Source organism: Homo sapiens, chromosome 8 (genome assembly GCF_000001405.40).
Source record: "Homo sapiens chromosome 8, GRCh38.p14 Primary Assembly".
NCBI lineage: Eukaryota > Metazoa > Chordata > Mammalia > Primates > Hominidae > Homo > Homo sapiens.
In genome coordinates this window covers 117,435,299-117,450,434 of record NC_000008.11, presented here as the reverse complement: position 1 = coordinate 117,450,434, position 15,136 = coordinate 117,435,299, and the positions used below count along the sequence as shown (strand labels likewise).

Sequence of the window (15,136 nt, the reverse complement as noted above, 5' to 3'; positions counted from 1 at the left end):
CAAGGCAATCACCATCAATTACCAGGTTACTTCTGTTTTAGTTATAGTATAATTTTCACTGGAAATTAATTATATTGTTGGGGTTTTGGGGTGTTAATTAATCATCCATCTCCTGAGCCGAGCTCAAGTCTGAAATCTATGAGAAAATTGCTAGGAGTAAGATGAACAGGGATCAAAATACTAGAATTATTTGTAAATATAGATTGGGAAATTTACTGGGATCTATGGTCACCACTGGGCTTTCTGCTACCTTTATCCCTAGGCATAGCTGAAGAAGTTGGATCTGCCAAGTAGAATCACTTATCTAGAATTATTGCCTCACAAATGTTGAAGTCTATTAGTGGTGACTGAGAGAAACAGGCATGCAGACCAACATCTAGACAAAATACCTTGATTTCGATCTATGTGTCCTCACCTCAGGGATGCACAATTGGTGGGAGTATGAATAAAAAGAATGAGGTAGCAACTGAGTCATACATGTTTGGTTCCTTCACCAAATCTTAGGACATAAATTTTTACATTAGGGTGAAGGTAGAAAGTTGCAGTGCAGGATGCTTCCATTTATAATACTTTAGGGTCGAACTGGAAGCTCCTTTTAGGGTTGAGTACTGTATGTCCCTTTCTACCTCCCTCTTTCCCATATGTCTGCCCACTCTGCTGCCTAGTAAAATTCAAAACAATTAAGGGAATTTAATTGGATAACAACCAAATGCTACCATCAAAATACACAAATACTAACGTCTATGTTACATCTCGTATTTGGATAGATTTAAATATATTTCTAAAGCTCTTTCATAAATACTGTGTATTAACTACATATTGTATGTGTGGCCGAGATGCGAGTTGACCTTTGAGTTTCAAAGAAAGTTGGCTCAAACTCCTTCCTATGGACAGTGGCAGAGATAGTTCATGTGTGTATATATGATTGTGCAGTTGTGGGAGTGGTAATGGCAGTGATGTCTGCATCATCCTGGTCGTCTTTGGGGCTGAGATCTGGCTTCTGATCAAATAGGACAGTGTCTGAATTATCCTCTAATACCAAGTGTGCTGTCCTCATTCCATGATGTATATGTTGAACACAAACCCTTTCTTCCATTTCCTTCAAAAATGACAAAAAAGAAAAACAAAAATGCTCCCATGAGGCATATTGGCAGATTCAATCTTGGATATTTTCCTGTTTGTGAAGATGGAGATGGTTTCAGTGAAATCACAAAAATAAACCAATATTTGCTATTCTTTTAGGAAGACTTATTATCAACACTATCCTTTCTCTTCTGCTCTCTTCTCTCTTCCCAATGTCCTTCCCCTGAGAAGAAACTCTACCCCTCCTCAAATTATTATTATTTTTTTTTCATGAAGTTTTCTCCAGCTCTTATTCTGAAATTCATCCTAGGACTTCAGAGTCAAAGCCACAGGCCACTGCCTTGTGGTCTTATTCTCCCTCTCCAGTTTCTGCAAGGGTATGAGAGCAGAGGAGCTACGTAAGTATTTATTTCTCCAATGATATAAAGTATGCTCTCAGTAGTTAGCAATAGAGTCTGTTTTGATTTTAAATATTAGTTTTTTCATCTTTATTAATATGTTAATTATCTGTCTTCTATACATTATAAAAGAGATAGTTTTCACTTGCACAATCAGCACTGGCTTTATAATTCAATAAATGTAGCTACAAATCTCTAAAGTCTTCAAGGAATTTGATTGTTTACCAAGTTGCAATTATATTCCTAGCCTGCATTGTGTGATTTCAGTGTATCAAGATGCCTCATTCATAGGACAAAACAAAATTTCCTTAGCCTGCTTTATGATTATTGACACTTCATAACTACAACTAGAATTACTTATTTCACATGGAATTGATTTTCAAATATACATCTCTAACATAAGTAAAGTATCTGATCTTTTTCTAAGAGCAAGTTTTGATTAGGAAATGGGTGAACATACTATAGACACTTTGAATACTTAAAAGGGAATGATGTCATTGAGCAAGAAGTGAACTAATAAAGAAGTTTGGAGTGATAATCCAAATTTCTCCTAACATACTATTTGGCTTTCAACTTAGTAGCATTTCTTGGGTAGATTTAACTCTAGTCCCTTCATTTCTGATAATAGTAGTTTTCAAACATAAATCTGGATTAGGTTTTCAACTCACTTACTTTTGGTAAATATGTTCTTATTATTGCATCTTACAGTTTGATCCAAAATCAATAATTTGGAAGCACATATAGCAAACTACCTAACTGACAGAGTTCCTAAGGAGACTGGCAGACTAATTTGCTAAAGCACATAGCAACAGCCCAGAAAACACTTCCTGTGTCTGAGAATGCCGAAGAGAGGATTCTTTTCTAATCCTATTCAAAACAGAGTGGAAAAATATATATATTTCCTTTTGATTGCAGAAAAAAATGAGTGAATTTATAGCATACTTTAGACCCTCCAGTGAAAGGGCCTGTGAAAATGTCCTCACCATAGGGAACTATGTTAAATAATTTTATTGAAAAAAATCATTGTTCCATAAGGAATGGAAAATTCTGACACTCATAAACAGTAGGCAAATAGGCATTACAAAATTGAGGATCAAATTGCAAAAAGGAAAGTCTCGAGGTGATAGGTTTATGACAGTGCCTATCCACATTTGATTCCATTGCTTAGACAGTGAACATTTCCCCTGCTGGGTCTTTACTTTAAATTAACCTTAGTCTCTAGCAGCAGGAGCAATTATTTGGACCTACATTTGGATACAGGAAAAGGAAAGAGATTCTTCTTTTATGCCTCATTAGGCTACAGAATGAGTAACACAATACAAATGTCCCTGAAAGGATTAATGATACAGCTCAAGATAGCTACGATTTGTTCTAATTGGAAATACGATCATCATTTCCTCTGATCTTCGGATCTGGGGATGAGCAAGGATCACAGCTGAACAGTAAGTAAAGAGGCAACAAGAGAGAGATGAAATCATCCTGAGGTCGGCTATTTCCAGTTCACTCAACACTTCTTTCCAATTTTGCACCTTCCTGGAGGGAGTAGTCATAGGACTGTATGGTGCAGTTCCAGTATTATTGAGTGGTAAACTGTTGTCCTCAAGACTATGAATATATTGTGCATGTTAATACAATCTTGCAGGGGGTCCATATGGAGACGATGAGAGCCTAAGCAGTTGTGTAGACTTTGAGCGAAACTGTTCTTGGCTAATGTGCTCCGATTCCTACAATCCCCATTTGGCAAAAGAACTAGAGGGAAGAATTTATTATTTGAGATAATCCATTATATTTTGTATTTGTGTAGGAAGACTGAACACTGTACTATTACTAATAAAAAATATGATGTTGAGAAGCAATTCTAGTTATCTATTAGATATCAGTTACTTTTATCCCATTGACTTGTTGTACAGCATGGTGCTTAAGAGTACCTCTGAGGGTCAGATTGGTTAGGTTTGAAGCTTGGCTCCTTCACTACCAGCTACATGACTCAGGACAAGTAACTTAACCTCTCTGTACTTCAGCATTTTCATCCAAAAAATGAGGATAGTAATATTCCCTACTTCATAGAGTTATGAGAATAAAATAACTTAATATATGCAAAGTGCTACATTATATGACCTATAGCAGACACTCTGTATAGGCTACTTGTTATTAATCCTCTGCATAGCACATAACAACAGTAAGCCATTTGTTCTGTTTATTTAAATTATTTGCTTTATTGTTTATATGTTATGGTCTATACTAGAATGTAACTTTCATGAGAACTGTGACCTTGCTTGTATTGATCACTACTATATCCCTAGAATTCAGATTAGTATCTGATGGGGAATAGACAGTAATACTTCTTGAATGAATGTGAAAGGTAGAATCATATGAAAGGCAGATGTTCAGCCATTATTGAACTGAAAATTGGTGGCTTCATATGGTCCAAATTAATAGAATGAATACCTTAGACTTGAGAACAGCCAATGTGGGTGCTCAGTATAACTAAGCCACCTAATAGCTATGTGACCTTGAACAAGTTTCTTCATTTGGCTAATTTATAGTTTGGAGATGATATATACCTACCTCCAAGAGTTGTTTTGAGAATAAAATAAATAATGTATGTGGAGGTAACTTGCACATAATAAATAAACATTTTTTTGGAAACAAAGTAAATTCTAACATTAACGTAGCACTATAGAATCTGTAAAATGCATTTGCAAGTTTTATCTCATTTGTTTACTATAACAATAGAAGATGGTACAGATAAAAGAGAGCCTTATTATGCAAGGGTAATTTAATTATTCACTACAAAAAATTCACTTAAAGCTGCAACAAAAATTTCATAGTATATAAGGGAAAAAGGATTCAATTGAGAATTTACCTTTAAAAAGTAAAGGTAATAAAAATAATATATTTTTCATAAATGTAATAATTTTGGTTATAATGACAATAAGACATGTTTACTGAAAATAATGGAGTCCTTTTTTTAAAAAAAAACATGATTTCTGGCAAAACTATAAATGAGAACATAATGCAATGTCCTTTTATGTTATTAACTTTCAAAGAATCCTCAAAGGTCACTTTTGAGAAACATTCAAGGTTTAATCAGCTTTCCCAAAGATTTTTATTGTTATTTTGATACTCAAATCATTTTCTTTAAAATTCCTGCCCTGTCACCAACCTTACCTTTTCTCTCTTCTGTGGTTTTGAGATGCTAACTAGGCCAGATCCTTCCATGTCCGTTGCTTTGTGTGTGACTTTGCACTATTCTCTAGCACTCCTCTCATTCATCGCTTGAGAGTCTGAAACTTTTCTGAGATTTACAGTTTTGCTTGCCAAAGGATTTGCAAGATATTTATAGACTAATGATCCAAGGCATTGATTTGATGGTTAGAGATAAATACAAATCTTAAAAGAGAAGGGATGCAGAGAGCAGACTAATTTCATAAATGAGCAACTCATTAGAGCATTAGAGGATATTTTCATGTTATGATGGCTTTTGATTTCTTGTGCAGTCTCATTATGCTGCAGACTCAGATAATAAAATTGAGATAATGAGGAACCTCTGTATTATTACTATCTTCGTTTTATAGATAATTAAAATGCAGCTCAGAGAAGTTTAGTGACTTAAGGCAACACAGCAAGTAAATACTGTCTCTTAATCCATGCTCTTTATGCACAGAAGATAAATTTGGGATTAAGGGTGAAATTATTTTCTTTTGGTTGCAATTTAAATTTATGCTTTACTGTAATAAGAAAGAGTCTTTTCAAAGGACTCATTACTTTGAATAAATGTTAGGATTTCTGAGTAGTCTCAGGTCGCAGGCTAAAGTCTTTTCTTCTGCACTTGATTTTGATCTCCGTAGGAAATTATTGCAGGTCCTATGTCTGAGAATTCCTTCTCAAGTAGAATGAATGGAATAATGGAATGAGTTTAGAACTAAGAATGAGGATTTATGGGTTCTAGGCTTAGCTCTGATGTTGACAAATTTTCAAAAATCAAGTATAACCTTGGACAAGGAGCTTTCTCAGTTTCAGTTTCCTTAACTCTAAGATAAAGGTTCTGAGCTCATTGTTCACCAAAGCCCTTTGTATGTCAAGATTCCTTATGTCTACCTACTACTTGCACTCCACTACAGACCAGACAGGTGGTCTTATGCTGCTATGCATTTGAACTGTGAGGTCTGGCACAAATGGAGTTTGACTGCAGCTCTATGCTTTCCCTCTCCCTGTAATTTTCCTTTTCCCTTTCTTTAAACCTAAAGTTCTTCAGCAGCCAGTATATTGGTAAGAGTGTGACCTCAAAAGTCAGACATACCTGAGTGCAAACCCCAGCCATATGATTAGAAAATTTGCTGAGTTTTAGGCTTCTTATTTCTACAGTTAGATTATTAGACAAATACTGGATACTACTAAGGATGAAATCTATTAATATATGTGAAATAATTGGTACATAGGAAAAACTTAGTAAACACCAGCTTCCTTGCTTTCCTTCCACCTTCTCCAAACACAAAAGCTGTAAAACATATTTGCTGTAGAGCCACCACACTTCTTTTACCAGGAGAACACAGAGATGCAAATGGTTAAGAAAAAAATAATTAAAATGGATTAAGATATCGCTTTCAAGCAATGCTTACTTAAAAGACCGAATTTTGAAGCTATCAGTTGTATGTGCATTCACTTGGAAGTCCCTGAACAAAGCACTAATATAATCATGTCTAAGTCAGCATCTTCTAGTGACCTGGAACGTCAGGTCATTGCTTGGCTTTCTTGCTAATCTCTGAAAGCTCAGTGTTTTATTGCCAAAAACAATGCAAAGGATCAGCTCTTCCTTTTAAAGATTTTCTTAGTGTTTTACTATCTCATTTCTTTCAGAGAAGCCAAGCTGAGAATTGCCTTAGGTGGACTGAATATATGTCCTGTTGGCTAATGTTCCTGTCTTCTTCTAGAGTTTCTTCTAGAACTCAGTTCTTATTCTATCTATCTATCTATCTATCTATCTATCTGTCTATCTATCTATCTAATCTATCTTCATCAACAACAACATCATCTATCTATTATCTATGTTTTTCATCTATCCTGTGGAAACACTGATATCAAATATATTTTTCTTGATTTGAGACCTGTGTAGAATACTGAGAAATAGGTTTCCAGGGTGAAAAGCGAATCAGTTGCTTTTGTCATTTAATTTATTTATCTTATAAAGTATCTTAATTACATTTTCTTTAATAAGACAAGTCCCTACCATGTGTAGTAGCACATTATTTCTTTTGAAGAGATTCAAACAAAATTCTTCCTATCTTCAAAGCTCAAATTTTAGTTATTCAGAAAATGTCAGTGTGTCTAGCAGAAGGAATCTGAAGCTAGCCTGATCTCTAAGAGTGCCCAGTTTCACTTCACCATCTCTATGGCTGTCATTCTGCGATTCAGAGAGCAACAGAAGAGGGTTCTCTTTGCAGGATGTGGGCAGAAAGCCAGGCAGGAGTTATGCACTGGTGTGCCAGCTGAGTGGTTTAGAAACCTTGTGTTCAAGGTTTCAAATAGTGGTCATTTATAAGTGACCAGAAACCCCAAAGTAGCCAAGACTTGAGGCAGGCATTAAGAATTGAAGAGGCAGATAAATCCCAGGAGAGGAAGTCAAAATGGAAAAGGAGGTAAGTTTTAGATACATTCAGTCAAGACTCAGTGACCAGGATACAGAATCTCAAACTAGTATGAATGGAAAGCTTTTTTAAAATCTAGGTACAGATGACAACAACTTTTGCAATTATTTTCTTTGTTGCTTACATGATCAGGGAATTTAATCCTATTCCACAAACCTACTCTATAATCATGGTACAAAAAAATAGTAATTTTGATAGTGGCTTTTGTTTGTTTTCTATAGCAAATATCAAAGTCCACCTGTAATATTTTAAGTGGTGATTGGAAGATGGCCATTTTTCTAAGTTTTAAAGAGACACATTATTGACACATCTGTGGACTTTTTAGTGTGAATCACAATTTCACTACCATGAGTATGAAAGTCCAGAGAACAAAGACAGTGTTTCCTTCTGTTTTGAATGCTGTGGTCTCTGGCATAAGTTCTGGTTCATGGCAGATTCTCCATATACACTTTTTTCAATTGAGATGCTTAGGTTCAGAATGTTAAGAACAATCCAGATCAAGCCAGCTGTGTTCTGAAACAATGTTGTTTTCCTCAAGCCCTCACTTTCTCTGAGTTGGAAACTTTACTTGATCAATAATGACTTTTCTGAAAGCCGTAATTCCAGAACCCCATAAGTTGACTTTCAAGGCTGCTAGGCACTGCACATCTGTCACTTCTCTTTGACAATCTGCAAGGTGCGACCGCAGCATCTGTAGAGAGTGGATTAATAACGCTGTCCTGCTTTGTGTGAGAATCCCCAAGGTGGAACAGGAGGCTCAACACAGAGTCTGCTGCATTCTCAGCATCCTGGCTGGAATTATTAAACACCTCATTTGAAAACCAAGACACACAAAGAAGAAAATGGAACAAATCTCTGGCTTTCAATTGCATTGCAAATAGGACTGAGTGAGGCTTAAATGTAGAATTCTGCCTAGATTTTTCTGAATCTAAATGGTTCATCTCTTGCAGAAGAGTGGTTGGGTTATTTCAATGTTTGAGACCAGGTAAAACTGTTGAGTATATAGGCTACTTTTTCATACATTCAACCATTTTATTCACTCATTTGGTGTGGACACCCATTATGTGCTGCAGATGAAGCAGAGAAAAGGACAAAACAAATTTCCTGTCCTCATGGAGCTTACATTCTGGTGATAGAGACAGACAATGAATAAATGGACAAATAAATACATAATGCCATCAATGAATAACAATAACTCACAGTAAGATTGATATGGTGGTACCATAATGCCTGACACCAGATATGATGAATGACAGTGACAGATAATGATCAGGGATGGTCTTTCTGAGGAAGGACCCTTTGGGTAGAGAATGAATGAAGTAAGGGTGGGGACCATGTAGAGATAACTAGGGGAAAAGCTCCTGGCAGAAAAAAAAGAGAATATTCAAGGGCTCTGAGATGGGAATGAACTTGGCATTCTGGGAAACAGCAATAAAACTGGTGAGACTGCATATTAATGAATGGGGAGACAGTGATGAGGAATAGAATGAGAGAGTAGAGGCCGGCAGCTTGTGAAAGGCCTGTTTGCTGGGATTTTGGATTTGTTCCAGGTGTGGATGAAAAAGCAATGGAGGATCTAAAAGAGAGGGGGAAATAAGGTCTGATTTACATGTTTAAAAATTACATTGCGTGGCCAGGCGCGGTGGCTCACGCCTGCAATCCCAGCACTTTGGGAGGCCGAGGCGAGTGGATCACCTGAGCTCAGGAGCTCAAGATCAACCTGGCCAACATGGCAAAACCCTGTCTCTACAAAAAATACAATAAATTAGCCGGACGTGGTGGTGCATGCCTGTAATCCCAGCTACTCAGGAGGCTGAGGCAGGAGAATCACTTGAACCTGGGAGGTGGAGGTTGTAGTGAGCCAAGATCACACCATTACATGCCAGCCTGGGTGATACAGCAAGACTCCGTCTCAAAAAAAAAAAAAAATTACACTGTATGACAGGCAGAATAATAGTCCTTCAAAAATGCCCATACCCTAATCTCTGGAACTGTGAATATATCACATTACATGTCAAAGGGGAATGAAAGTTTCAGATGGAAGTAAGGTTGCTAATCAGCTAGTCTTAAAGAGATTGTTTTGGATTTTGCAGGTGCTCCCAATGCAATCACAAAGATCTTTAAAAGTGGAAGAAGGTGGGAGAGGTCAGAGTGATACGAAGAGAACTCAGTCTACCACTGCTGGCTTTGAAGATGGAAGAATGGGGCTATGAGCCCTGGATTGCGGGCAGCCTGCAGAAGCTGGGGCAGAGATTCCACACAGGCACCTCTAGAAAATAATGCAGCCAGCCAATCCTTAGACTTTATCCCAGTGAGAGTCAAGTTGGACTTCTGACCTACAAAAGAGTAAGATGATGAATTTATATTGTTTAAACCACCAAGTTTGTGGCAGTTTGTTACAGGAGCAATAGAATATTAATACACTGTAGCCTCTGTGTTGGGGATGAACTGTACCATCTAAAAGTAAAGGGAGTACAATTAGGTTGTTCCTGTGATTTTAGAATTCAGGGAAAATGGTCTTGACAACAGGGACAACAGTGAAGGTGGTGGGAAGTGGTCGGATTTGGGATACATTTTCAAGCAGACAAAAAATTGTCTTGAATAATTCCCAGAATTTTGGTCTAAGCCATTGAGTTTGAACAACTAGATGAATAGTAGTGCATTTACTGACATGGGAAAGACAGGGGAGCTATGGTTTACAGGAGAAAAGAAAGAATTCTGTTTTAGAAATTAGTTTGAGGTCTTTTTCAGATACCCTAGTGGAGATGTTGATTAGGCAATGGGATAAATGATTCTGAAGCTCAGGAGATGGGTCAGGGCTAGAAATATAAATCTGGGATGGCAAAGTTACAAAATGGGAGAGGCTTTTATCCTAGATATTATGGTGCCACCCTCAAAACCCCACTACTTATACTTGAAATGTTATGTGAGAAGAAAGAATGATTTTGGATTTCTGAAGCACTTATTATTTGCTGTCTTACAGCTAACTAATTCCCCAAACTGTTTAATCACTTTATATTTAACAAAATTTGAATTTCCAAAATTGCTCAAATCCAGAGAACGGTAGTATCTAGCTTATTTTGTTGCAGATTTAGGGACATAGTCATGAATATTTCCTAGTGATGTGTTCTTATCTAAACTTGCTGGGGCAAATTGGGTGACAAAAACAACTGTGGTTTCAGTGGGTGCAGCCTTTATCTGTGGTTGAAAATGGCTCGTCACAATGTCGACATTTGGAACAGCCTGTTGAAGAAACAGAGGGGAGGATGTACCACTTCCCTTTTAGGACATGAATCTGCAGGTGCACATATCTCTTCCAGTCATTTCCTGTGGCTCAAAAATAATATATAGTCCCATTTAAGATTTTTGTTTTTGTTGTTGTTTTGTTTTGTTTTTGTCTGGATGGCCATCTGTGCAGCTGAGATTGTGGGGTTCAGTTACTAATGAACAAAGAGAAAGTAGATATTGGAGACAATAGTAATTCTGTCCCAGTCAGTTCCTTTGGCCACCCTAGTAATCTTATGTATCCTTCTTTTTGCCCCTAGAACACACTCAACCTTCCCCAAGGGTCGCATGCCAGGTACTATATCTAGCTCAAAGCCCCAGATCTGCAGGTGATGTATAGACTTTCACTAGAACCAGGTGTGGCTGCTCATAGTTCAGGGAACTGTAACCTAAAAGACTAGTTATTTGACTTCTCCCCAGTGTAAAACAGCAGAGTAGGAGCTGTATAGTTGCAATTAAAACACACAAACAAAAGTCAAAAAGCCTCCGAGTTAGAAAGAAGAGTCTGAAGAGGCAGTACTCACTTTATAACAGTGATCAAGTGCTGATGTACAGGAATACCAAAGGCTCCTGTACTAGGTCTGCTAGAGCTGCCATAGCAAAATACTACAAACTGCCTGGCTTCAACAACATAAATTAATTTTCTCACAGTTCTGGAAGCTGGAAGTCTACAATCCCGGTGTCAGCAGTTGTGGTTTCCTCTGAGGCCTCTCCTTGGCTTGCAGATGGCCACCTGCTCGCTGTGTCCTCATGTGGTTTTTCCTCTGCGCACAGCCCTAATGTCTCTCCCTCTTCTAATAAGGAGACCAGTCACTTTGGATTAGGGCCTGCCCTAGTGGCCTCATTTTAATCTATCCACCTCTTTAAAGGCCTTATCTCCAAATATAGAGTCCCATTCTGAGATACTAGGGGTTAGGGCTTCCACACAGGAATTTGGCAGAGGGTGAGGAGTACAATTCAGCCCATAACAACTCCTTTCCCTAGCAATGGAGTAAATCCCTTCTTTAGCTCATCTGGCATCCCTGGCTTTATTCTCTGGGCAGAACTTTCTGAATTCATGTCTGTGTCTGCTCTAGGACCCAGCTCATAGTTAAGGGGGCATAAAAGTTAAGGGGGCACAAAAAGACTTGATAATCAAAAAAAATTTAATGATATATTTTAAACAAACAAAATGAATGTAAATGATCTATAAATCTGTGGTGAACAAAATAACACTGTTTAATAAAGATAGGATTGTATGGATGATTTTCCTTTTCATCTCAGGATCTGATATGACTTCCTATGGCACCGCTACAGATCGTGTTAGTATTAAAAATTTTGCTATTTTGTTCATCCATGATGTTTTGCACTGATTCTGATTCTATAAAGCATTGTATTAAAATAGTATTTTGATTACTGACTGTTTTTGCACTACCTTAAATTTTGTACCTGAGGCCAGGGACTCAACTTGCATTACTTTCATCTTGCTCCCTCCTCCTCCAACCCTTCGCTTTTTCCTCTGGAAATTTTTTCTTGTCCATCCCCCCTTCACTACATCTGAAGTGGACACAGGAGAGAATATCCTTCCCAGTGACCAAACCACGTTATGTTGGTTTTAGGTGTGTAGCAACACCAGGCTTTGGTCAGCTAGGTTTCCCATTCATTCAGCATATAATTTCCTAAAAAACCTAGTCAATTTCTGGTCTGTTTCTTTCTTTTTTTTTTTTTTTATTATACTTTAAGTTTTAGGGTACATGTGCACAACGTGCAGGTTTGTTACATATGTATACATGTGCCATGTTGGTGTGCTGCACCCAGTAACTCGTCATTTAACATTAGGTATATCTCCAAATGCTATCCCTCCCCACTACCCCCACCCAACAACAGGCCCCGGTGTGTGATGTTCCCCTTCCTGTGTCCACGTGTTCTCATTGTTCAATTCCCACCTATGAGTGAGAACATGCAGTGTTTGGTTTTTTGTCCTTGTGATAGTTTGCTGAGAATGTTGGTTTCCAGTTTCATCCATGTCCCTACAAAGGACATGAACTCATTATTTTTTATGGCTGCATAGTATTCCATGGTGTATATGTGCCACATTTTCTTAATCCAGTCTATCATTGTTGGACACTTGGGTTGGTTCCAAGTCTTTGCTATTGTGAATAGTGCCGCAATAAACATATGTGTGCATGTGTCTTTATAGCAGCATGATTTATAATCCTTTGGGTATATACCCAGTAATGGGATGGCTGGGTCAAATGGTATTTCTAGTTCTAGATCCCTGAGGAGTCACCACACTGACTTCCACAATGGTTGAACTAGTTTACATTCCCACCAACAGTGTAAAAGTGTTCCTATTTCTCCACATCCTCTCCAGCACTTGTTGTTTCCTGACTTTTTAATGATCATCATTCTACCTGGTGTAAGATGGTCTCTTTGTGGTTTTGATTTGCATTTCTCTGATGACCAGTGATGATGGCATTTTTTCATGTGTCTTTTGACTGCATAAATGTCTTCTTTTGAGAAGTGTCTGTTCATATCCTTCACCCACTTGTTGATGGGGTTGTTTGTTTTTTTTCTTGTAAATTTGTTTGAGTTCATTGTAGATTCTGGATATTAGCCCTTTGTCAGATAAGTAGATTGCAAAAATTTTCTCCCATTCTGTAGGTTGCCTGTTCACTCTGATGGTAGTTTCTTTTGCTGTACAGAAGCTCTTTAGTTTAATTAGATGCCATTTGTCAATTTTGGCTTTTGTTGCCATTGCTTTTGGTGTTTTAGACATGAAGTCCTTGCCCATGCCTATGTCCTGAATGGTATTGCCTAGGTTTTCTTTTACGGTTTTTATGGTTTTAGGTCTAAGATTTAAGTCTTTAATCCATCTTGAATTAATTTTTGTGTAAGGTATAAGGAAGGGATCCAGTTTCAGCTTTCTACATATGGCTAGCAAGTTTTCCCAGCACCATTTATTAAATAGGGAATCCTTTCCCCATTTCTTGTTTTTGTCAGGTTTGTCAAAGATCAGATAGTTGTAGATATGCAGCATTATTTCTGAGGGCTCTGTTCTGTTCCATTCCATTGGTATATATCTCTGTTTTGGTACCAGTACCATGCTGTTTTGGTTACTGTAGCCTTGTAGTATAGTTTGAAGTCAGGTAGCATGATACCTCCAGCTTTGTTCTTTTGGCTTAGGATTTACTTGGCAATGTGGGCTCTTTTTTGGTTCCATATGAAGTTTAAAGTAGTTTTTTCCAATTCTGTGAAGAAAGTCATTGGTAGCTTGATGGGGATGGCATTGAATCTATAAATTACCTTGGGCAGTATGGCCATTTTCACGATATTGATTCTTCCTATCCACGAGCATGGAATGTTCTTCCATTTGTTTGTGTCCTCTTTTATTTCATTGAGCAGTGGTTTGTAGTTCTCCTTGAAGAGGTCCTTCACATCCCTTGTAAGTGGGGTTCCTAGGTATTTTATTCTCTTTGAAGCAGTTGTGAATGGGAGTTCTCTTATGATTTGGCTCTCTGTTTGTCTGTTATTGGTGTATAGGAATGCTTGTGATTTTTGCACATTGATTTCATATCCTGAGACTTTGCTGAAGTTGCTAATCAGCTTAAGGAGATTTTGGGCTGAGATGATGGGGTTTCCTAAATATACAATCATGTCATCTGCAAATAGGGACAATTTGACTTCCTCTTTTCCTAATTGAATACCGTTTATTTCCTTCTCCTGCCTGATTGCCCTGGCCAGAACTTCCAACATTATGTTGAATAGGAGTGGTAAGAGAGGGCATCCCTGTCTTGTGCCAGTTTTCAAAGGGAATGCTTCCAGTTTTTGTCCATTCAGTATGATATTGGCTGTGGGTTTGTCATAGATAGCTTTTATTATTTTGAGATACATCCCATCAATACCTAATTTATTGAGAGTTTTTAGCATGAAGCATTGTTGAATTTTGTCAAAGGCCTTTTCTGCATCTATTGAGATAACCATGTGGTTTTTGTCATTGGTTCTGTTTATATGCTGGATTACGTTTATCGATTTGCGTATATTGAACCAGCCTCACATCCCAGGGATGAAGCCCGCTTGATCATGGTGGATAAGCTTTTTGATGTGCTGATGGATTCAGTTTCCGAGTATTTTATTGAGAATTTTTGCATCGATGTTCATCAGGGATATTGGTCTAAAATTCTCTTTTTGTTGTGTCTCTGCCTGGCTTTGGTATCGGGATGATGCTGGCCTCGTAAAATGAGTTAGGGAGGATTCCCTCTTTTTCTATTGATTGGAATAGTTTCAGAAGGAATGGTACCAGCTCCTCCTTGTACCTCTGGTAGAATTTGGCTGTGAACTTGGTTCCATTCTTCCAGTTGATCGAGTCGGCTACTGAGGCTTGTGCATTCGTCACGTAGTTCTTGTGCTGTGGTTTTCAGCTCCATCATGTCCTTTAAGGACTTCTCTGCATTGGTTATTCTAGTTAGCCATTCATCTAATCTTTTTTCAAGGTTTTTAACTTCTTTGCCATTGGTTTGAACTTCCTCCTTTAGCTCCGAGTAGATTGATCGTCTGAAGCCTTCTTCTCTCAACTCGTCAAAGTCATTCTCCGTCCAGCTTTGTTCCATTGCTGGTGAGGAGCTGCATTCCTTTGGAGGAGGAGAGGCGCTCAGATTTTTAGAATTTTCAGTTTTTCTGCCCTGTTTTTTTCCCCATCTTTGTGGTTTTATCTACCTTTGGTCTTTGATGATGGTGACGTAC

General features: G+C 37.8%; 1 long non-coding RNA gene across 7 annotated transcripts in view; it reads left to right on the top strand.

The window, feature by feature from the left end:
• The window catches only part of LOC105375716 (uncharacterized), a 436,284-nt gene that overhangs the window by 70,286 nt on the left and 350,862 nt on the right, over positions 1-15,136 (top strand). For all 7 annotated transcript variants that reach the window (XR_007061067.1, XR_928569.3, XR_007061068.1 and 4 more), the window contains one exon: positions 9,223-9,475. This is a non-coding gene — a long non-coding RNA (uncharacterized LOC105375716). The remainder of the gene's footprint in view (positions 1-9,222; positions 9,476-15,136) is intronic.